The 9,369-nt window shown below is 39.2% G+C and overlaps 1 annotated feature.

Moving 5' to 3' along the window:
• Positions 8,623-9,167: an enhancer, noted in NCBI's record as "NANOG hESC enhancer chr2:84180705-84181249 (GRCh37/hg19 assembly coordinates)". NCBI's record gives its function as "activates a minimal SCP1, AML or CMV promoter by ChIP-STARR-seq in naive H9 embryonic stem cells {active_cell/tissue: H9 hESC(naive)}" and the evidence as "EXISTENCE:reporter gene assay evidence [ECO:0000049][PMID:30033119]".

A 9,369-nucleotide genomic window follows, 5' to 3' on the forward strand; every position in this document is an offset into this window, starting at 1 on the left:
TTTCACTGGGTTGATTGATCCACACTTAAGAGGACAAACAGTTCTGAGTGCCTGCTGAAATAGAAATTTTCCATCCTTTTTGAAGACTCAGAATTATGCCAGGGTATATATATTTTCAAGGGTTCAAATTATTTTGAAAACTTTTGTCTTAAAGACACAGACTTAAGGCATTCTCCTCAGTGACACAGGAAATGAGCAGGTGCAGGGCAGTCCTTTAGAAGGCAGTTCCTACAGTTTCCTTCCACCCTATTAAGGAGGTGTGTTCTTGCAATACCTAATATGTCTTGTGCCTATGATAGACTAGGGAGAATTAAAAGACTTGAAATTTAAACCATCATTCTAGTTTTTGACTTTTTAATTTATTATTTTTTGTGTTATTTCCAAGTCTTTTAACTTTTGTAAACTTCAGTTTTTCTTTTTTATTAAAAAGCGTAATAATAGTTTTGCTGCAATTGACATTATATTAAATTAGATAATTATATAAAAGTGCATCAAAAATTTGAGTGTGCTATGCAATGGAAGGGTATTAATTTGGCAAAAGGAAAATATTGGAAGAATGTATATCTCTTAAGTTAACATGACGGAGTAATTGTGGTTTAAGTATTTCCATAAAAATCAAAGTAATATTGTATAAGACCTTTCAGTTATTATACAGTAGACAATTAGTCATGTTTTTAATTCACATAACATTTAATTAGATTTTTTGTTTTTTATTCTATAGAGGAATGTTTAGACAAGCTTACCAACATCATAAAAGAGGAGACCATGTGGATTTAAAGTACGTAGCATATAATTAATTTCAAATTACTTAAGCAATAAAACACTTATCTAACAGCCATTAAGCTACTAGTAAATGTCAAACTATTTTAATTGCACTCAATAAGACAAATTAAAAGCCTAAATATATTTTTAATATTTTCCCTTGCAGGGTCTTAGTGTGGAAAGTGTAGTGTATTTAGTCTTTCCAATATTATTTACATAAGAAGGGAGAAAAAAAAGGAAGATACAGAGGCCTTTGGACTCCAATTGTTTTTCAGTTATTTTTTTTTTTTTTTGATACGGAATCTCACTCTGTCAATCAGGCTGGAGTGCACTGATGCAGTCTCGGCTCACTGCAACCTCCGCCTCCTGGGTTCAAGTGATTCTCCTGCCTCAGCCTCCTGAGTAGCTGGGATTACAGGTGCACGCGACCACACCCGGCTAATTTTTGTATTTTTAGTACAGACGGGGTTTCACCATGTCGGTCCGGCTGGTCTCGAACTCCTGACCTCATGATCTGCCCGCCTTGGCCTTCCAAAGTGCTGGGATTACAGGCGTGAGCCACCGCACCCGCCTCCAACTGTTAATACCATGCCCAGAACTGTCATTTTCCAACTGTGATCAACAAGAAACCTCAGAACAACTGCTGGAGGCAGGAGAGAGAAAAGTGGGTAGGGTTAAAAGCCCCCTCCCCAACATGGCTTCATCTAAAACAGCTCTGCTATTTTATGTACATGGTTTCTATGCAAAGGTACACAAGAAATATGAACTCTTTGGCCTCTAAAGATGTTTCGAATATCTGTAGCAAAAGAAAGAACTCTAGATAAGAAATTAGGGAATCATCATCTCCTCTCCAGATTTGTGACCCTAGACAAGTCTTTTACTCTCCCTAGTGCGTGGATTTTTGTATCTATAAAAACATGGATGTTGTATTAAATATGTTTAATTGTAAATAAATTAAGATTTTTTTAGAAATAGAAGCTTGGGGGAAAATAGTAGGATGAAGTATCAGGAAGCTAAATACCTCAAATGCCAGCTAGAACTGGTCATTCTATGGAGCAAGAAAAGATCTTCATCTTGCATCCCGTCACTGGGAGTTATATGCCTCATTTCTGGCAGCTGAGAACTCCCTTTCTCTCTCACTGCCTACATTCATCTCTTTTGGAGCTGGCATCTCAGTCAGACCCTTCCTACCTCAATCAGTTTATCAGACACTAAGAAATCCCAGTCTTACTGCTCAAGGTTACAGCTAATGCAGAGCCTTTCGAAGAAATGACCACACATACTCTCATTATGAACAAGTATATAAATCTGCAGCATACAGCTATATAGCAGATGAGCCTATTTAAATTATCCCACATATGAAGACAAGGAAAGCAGAGTAGTTCTGTTGAAGTGATGGGGCCGAGGGGCTAGAACGCTGTCCCCCAGCCTCCATCGAGTCTCTCCACCCTGAGACACCTCTGGTAAGAGCAGCGTTCTCAGGAACCCTGTTTGAAAACTACTGTATAATCATACCCTTTTAACTTATTAATGCATATATATATATATATATATATATATATATATATACACACTTGTTACTTTACTTTTTCATAATGCCCACTTTCTTTTTACTGTAGTAACCATGGAATTGAAAATTAGTCATTTTGGAAGATATTTATAAATATCTTCACTTTAAGGGAAAACTTGAAGTCACTTTATACTTGTTGAAAACATGATCTAGGAATATTTGATTTGTGCATTCTTCTCTCTTTATCTTTTTCATGTGGGAAAGAAGGATTAGAAGCTAGGTTGACTCTTGATCTAATTTCAAATAAGAAAATCATTACACTTGCAAAAATCTATCATTACCAAGCATCATTACTTCACTTGGAGCAATGCAAGGAGAGAAAAAAATAACTGCCTTTAGAACATGAGAAAATTCTCATTGATATGTTTATTCTTTGATTCTTCATCACTTTTCTGCTGCAAGAAGTTAAAAGCCTGCAGCTTGGCAAAAAAAAAAAAAAAAAAAACTAGTTGAATTAGATTCACAAAAATCAAGACTTATCTTCTTAACCACCAGGCACAGAGATTTACCAGGATGGAGTCAGGAACAGGGGAGAAGGGAACGGAATACTAGCTCTGCCAACAGACAGCTAATGTGCAGAAGAATCTGCTAGGAAAATCTGAGGGGTAAGATGCAGATGTAATAAAATCAACGCCAAGGAAAGGAGGGGGAAAGAAGTTAATGGGAATTCCAGTAATACCCAATTCTGAGGAACCTGAAATGGCATGGAAGAGACATAATGTATCTGGAAGTCCATTCTAGGCCCCGTCTGGTGAGGCTTAGGGGAAGAATTCTGAATGTCACACTGAATGGTGCAACTTTGATAGTTTTACACTTTAAGGGGACTTGTCCTGCATTCCCTGAGAGATATCACTATATAAAAACTGACAAAGTAGGCTACCTGTCAAAGAAACTAATAAAAGTGCTATAATTATAAGCAAAGGGAGAACTATCTATCATCCCCATTGAAGCAATGTTCTCTTGTTCCCCAGAAGACATGAGGTAATCACCTGGGAGTAGATACCACCAACATAGCATCAGCTGACCATGGCCACCTTGAGATAAGTCCATGAGAGCCATAAGCAGTTCCCAACCACCAGCGTTCTCTGTCTTCATGTCTCTCCTAGTTTCCCTAAGGCTCAAAACTCATTTCTGATCTGAAAACTCAATTGGCGTGATCAGATGGCATTGGCTAGCCTTCTCACCATTCATCCCAGAGTATCACCATTACTTTTTTTGTCCTTCTCTCATCCATCTCCCTGGTACCCATTGCTCCACAACTCACAAGCACTCAGCATAACTCTAGCTTCTATTCTCAACCAGCTAGGTAAGTAATGCTGGCAGAGAGGGGAGCAAGATATTTCTTGAAATCTTTTAGAAAAATGAAAGATATAACTTTTCTATTTGAGGACAACAAACCCAGTCATTATACCATCAGGACTGTTATTTAGAGTTGAACCCCTCCAGATTTCTTGCCAGGAAATTAGAAAAAGGGATTATAATGCCAAGACTGCCTTAACCACCAATGTCTAGGGATAATTTGGAAAACATATGTATTACCTTTTTGTAATGCCTTCAATGATCATGCATTTATCTGGTTTCTTAAAAATCTATTGCTGACTTTAGCCTCAAGCAGTCGTAAAGTCTCCCAATTTTCTACATAAAAACTACTTCTAAAAGTCCCCTCATTCCTCAGGCCTATGAGTGTTTATATTATTAGTTCAAGGTAGGTATGACCAAGTATCTGCTCATCACATCAATAACCAAAGCTCTGAATTTCCTTTTGTGTTTGGGGTCAACATAAAAATGTCAAGATATTGCACACAAAAGATATGTGAAGATGTTGCACACAAAATCTTCAGCTTTACTCATTGCTTTCTGAGATTTTGTAAATCTCAAAGACTTGCTTTTGAAAGGCATCTCAATCATGGCTATGTACTGGAATCACCTGAGAATATTTACAAACAGATTTTGATTTAATTGCTCTAAACTGGGGCCTATAAAAAACATGGAGATTACAATAAATAGGTTTAATTGTAGATTAATTTAAAAAAATTTAAGCTCCCCAAGTGATGCTAATGTGCAGCTAATATTCAGAACCTTCTAGAGCAGTGGTTGTCATTGTATAAGCCTAGTAAATCAGGAACTCTGGAGACATACCCAGCAATGTGTCTTTGAAAGCCTTCTAGGGCTTTTTGATATTTGCTTAAGAATAAAACCACTGTTCTGGAGTGTAGCAGTAAATACTATGACATTAGTTCTCAAAGTGTAGTGCCCAAATCAGCAGCATCAGCATTATCTGGAAACTTATTAAGAATGCAAATTCTTGGTTTCCACCTCAGACTTATTGAATTAGAAAGTCTGGAGGTGGACCCACTGATGTGTGATTTAACAAGCCCTCCAGGTAATTCAGAATTACTGTACTTTACGAAACAGAACCAATGAAAATGAAGTTTTTGATAGACACACAAAGAAAAAAAGAAGGAGGGAAAGAAAGAAGGAAGAAAGGAAGGACGAGAGGAGGAAAGAAAGGTGCGAAGGTGGGAAAGCAGGCAGTCAGGCAAGAGTTTTTCGGTTGGTTATTTTGCAGTCTTGTACTAGTTTGATCCTTTTAATACAGGCTGAGTGGTAGATGATATTGTTCTTTAAAGAAGAATGACAAGGGACAAACAGAAGGTTATTTATAGCAAAATTAGCGGGCAACCAAAACAGAATTTGCAACTATATCTATGACTCCAAGACACAGCCGTTCCTTTATGGCACTAGAAGGACATTGAACCACTATAGACTTGATTGACAACTGCCTGGCCCAGTTTCATATGGCTAGTTATTCTTGTCCTTGTATAAATTAATTTGTAAAATGTAGATCACCTGGAAGAAACCAAAAATATAAATAATAGCTTATACTTATCATTTACTAAACATCAGGCATCATTTGACTCTCACAACAATGCTATGTGGTAGATACAATAATCTGATTTTACGTATATGGAAATTGAGAGTTTAAATATTGTGCCCAAGGTCAGGTCCCCTAACAGGAGAAGTCTGGGTTTAAACCTAAACAGTCTAACCCCACAGTCACACACTTAATCATTACATCAGTAGTTCTCAGCCAGGAGCAGTTTTGTCCTCCAGGGGATATCTGGCAATATCTGGAGATACTTTTGGTCATTACGTATTGTGGGAAGGTGCTACTGGCATCTGATATGAAGAGGACAGTATGAAAAAGTTCTGACGATGCACAAGACAGCTTCCCAATGCAACGAATTATCTGGCCCAATGTGTCAATGGTGCTGAGGTTGAGAAACTCTGTCCAAGTACAAGTAAAGGAGAGGTCCCAAGGACAGGCCATTTAATCTGCAAATAATAACTATTTAAATTGTTGCATTCTTTCTCCCTTTTACTCAGGAGATTCCAAAATGTCTCAAAGTTAAGAATATCTCATGGCCACAGCACAGGTCTAGAGTCTCTTCTAAAACTAGAACTGACTATTCCAGTCTTATGAGTGAATGTTCACTCACGTCTAGAAATAGCAACTTATTCTCTATCGAGGGATAAGCATTGCATCTAGCAGTGTCTTTAATGAGTCTGCAGTCAGTAAGCAGAGAGCACTACATACTACCAGAACCCCAGGTAATTAAGCATGTGGGCTACTAACTTGTTAGTGTATCACAATTTTTATCTAGCCTTATCATTGTCATAAAGGAAACTAAATTAACTTACAAACTCCGGCTCCTGAGTGTAATAGAAAGACTTAGCTGAATTAATTAAAATACTATCAGATTCTTGCCCTGTAAATTTCTACTTATGGGTCTGGATCCATGAAGGGGTAATTTTCTCAGAATGCAATGCAATGAAGGAGGTCTCTGTGTGAGAGATTAGCTGCCACTTGGTAAGTTTGATCAATAGAGATGGCCAATCCAAATAATAGGAGAAAGCCTTTATGAGAATCTGACTAAAGACAAGGAAAGATATTTCAAATAAGCTGGGAAGATTTTTGAATAGAGAAGCAGTCTCATTGAAGCTAAACACACATGGCCCCCTTCTACTCACCTCCTTTAAGACATAACTTATTATTCAGAAATGGTCATCAGCATGAAATTGTATGCCTTCTAATCATTTAGGGTTCAGACAGACTTTGCTACTTCTGATTGAGGGGGAACCTCTCTATCTCTGCCTCTCTGACAGCTGTCTCTCTCATCTCTCATCACCAGACTGTCTCAGCACGTTATCTGTAGCACACAGACCCTTGTCATTTTTACCTGGGTTCGCAGTTCCTGATCCGCATGTCTTCCCTAGATCCAGAGTGTATGAACAGGGTCTTGCAATATCTTTAATCCTTGACCAAACCATCTAATAATAAAATGAACTTAATAAATATTTGCTAAATGAATGAACAAACAGTTGAAAATATCTTTCATTCCCATATCTACTGTGTTACAGCCAGCTCCCTCCCACCCAGTATGTCACTCTTTTATAAAGGGGAAAGAGAAAGAGAGAGACAGTTTCTGTAGCATACGGAAAGATATCCAAACTATGCAATGTCATGGAGAGGTAAATAAGATAAGGAAGGGGGACACTTAGGAACATTTAACATCTGTAAAAGACCAAGGTGTTGTGAGTCTTCTGTGTGATATGCAAGGTCTTTTCCTGTATTTTGGAGATTCACAAGGGCCTACACTGCAATCTCAAAGGACTCTGGGGTACTGAAAGGGAGGCTAAATGGGTTCTCTGTGTCTCTCTTTTCCATCAGCAGAACATTATATCTGTTTTATGTATCCAGGACCTAAATTATATTATATTTAAAAATAGGGGTTTTCTGTCCAAAAAAAGCTTATAAAATCACTAATTTAGTTGAATCTTCTAATTCTGCCACTGAAATAATAGAAGCCTCAGGTGAAATAAACTCCCCACATTCACAAGACTAACAAATGGCTGAATCAGCACTAAGTCATTGATCGGTTTCCAGTGCCCAGTGGACCATTCTTCAATGTTCTGGGAGAAGTTGGTGTGATGAGGAGGAGCAAAGGAGAGAGGAACGGGAGACAAGAAGCATCTGGGAGCATGCTCACCTAGGAATGTTAACTTATTATATGAGCCAGCATCATCAGCCTCATACTTAAGTAGATTGTGTGCACTACTGAGGTGCCTCTAATACCCACTACTCTAGGTTAAAGCATGTGCATCTAGGAGTTAATTCCTATTCCAAAAGAAATGCACACACCAGGAGACGAAATGCACTACGTCACTAGCAGTCACGTGTCCAGCCTCTCACTAACCTAGAAGCACAGCGCCGGCCAGGCGCGGTGGCTCACTCCTGTAATCCCAGCATTTTGGGAGGCTGAGGCCGGTGGATCACCTGAGGTCAGGAGTTCAAGACCAGCCTGACCAACATGGTGAAACCCTGTCACTACTAAAAATACAAAAATTGCTGGGTGTGGTGGCAGGCGCCTGTAATCCCAGCTACCAGGAGGCTGAGGCAGGAGAATCATTTGAACCCAGGAGGCAGAGGTTGCAGTGAGCTGAGATCGTGCCATTTCACTCCTTCCTGGGTGACAGGGTGAAACTCTGTCTCAAAAAAAAAAAAAAAAAAAAAAAAAAAAAAGCACAGCGCTGAACAAAGACTCATTCATCACTCCAGGAAATAGGGCACAAAGGAGAGGGTGTTAGATGGAGTAAATCAGCATAGACAAGTCTGCGTTGCGGCATGAGAATCCTGCATACTCAGGACAAAAGAAAAAAATGTCTACAGTGGTTTGACGATTGTATCATGATCTGGCAAAAGCCTGTTTACAAAAGCCTGTTTGCTCACAGAGGTTCTTGCAGAAGAAATGAGAGCTTTAGTGAGAAAACCTCCAGCTTCAGAAAAAGAATCCTTGATTTTGAGTTCCAGCTTTATTTTTTCAGAGCATTGTGTCTGTGGACAAGTTGCTTCACTTCTCTGAGTCACTGTATATTTTCATCTGAAAATAAAAACATGATCTTGGCCAGGTGCAGTGGCTCACGCCTGTAATCTCAGCAATTTGGGAGGCTTAGGCAGGCAGATCACGAGGTCAGGAGATTGAGACCATACTGGCTAACACGGTGAAACCCCATCTCTACTAAAAAAAAAACAAAAAATTAGCCGGGCGTGGTGGCGGGCGCCTGTAGTAGTCCCAGCTACTTGGGAGGCTGAGGCTGGAGAATGGCGTGAACCCGGGAGGCGGAGCTTGCAGTGAGCCACGATCGTGCCACTGCACTCCAGCCTGGGCGACAGAGCGAGACTCCATCTCAAAAAAAAAAAACAAAACATGATCTTGTCCCGTCTACTTTACAGAATAGATGTGAGAATCAGGCAATATACTACTTAATATCTGTGAAAGTGCTTACTAATGGTAAAAAATGGTAAAAAAAAAAAAAAAAAAAAAAAGTAACATTGTGGCATATCTTACACTAATAATCATAGGATTTAGCAAAGGGAAATAGACTATGGGTAGCATCTTTTGTGACTAGGGCCCTGGTTTTAAGCTTAGTGCCCAACACCTTGAAGAGCCAGTGCCTGAGGAAGGTGCTAATGGGCACAGCTGCTCTGGCTGTGTACTTCAGTGTCATTCACACTTAAGTACTCAGCAAGAGCAGAAATTCCTTTAAAAGTAACCTAAGCAAATCAGGAAAGCAGCCAATGCTGCATTGCAGACGTGGCTCTGTTTCCCTGTGTAAAAAGAACATCATGCTTGCTGCAGGGATTTCAGAGACACTTAGTGCTTGGTTTGAAATTTGGGCTTTGTTCCTTTTTTTTTTCCTTCTTTTTATTTTAAGTGGAATCAGCTAGGTGCTGCTGATATTTGTAGTGTGACAAAATAGTGATTCACTGCACAGAACCAGGTCCTAGCAGCAATTTGCAGGGGAAATAAATACAGGAGCAATCACAAGTATTATCTTCCTAGCCAGCATGATGTGATATAAAACAAAGAATTTCAACGGAGGGAAGGAAGTGTCCCTCTAGAGTGGGGGAAGTATAATCTTTGTTGCTTTCCAGATAGAAACTTTGAGGACTGGCTCCCAAACTGCAGATATGC

The sequence above is a fragment of the Homo sapiens genome, chromosome 2 (assembly GCF_000001405.40).
Source record: "Homo sapiens chromosome 2, GRCh38.p14 Primary Assembly".
NCBI lineage: Eukaryota > Metazoa > Chordata > Mammalia > Primates > Hominidae > Homo > Homo sapiens.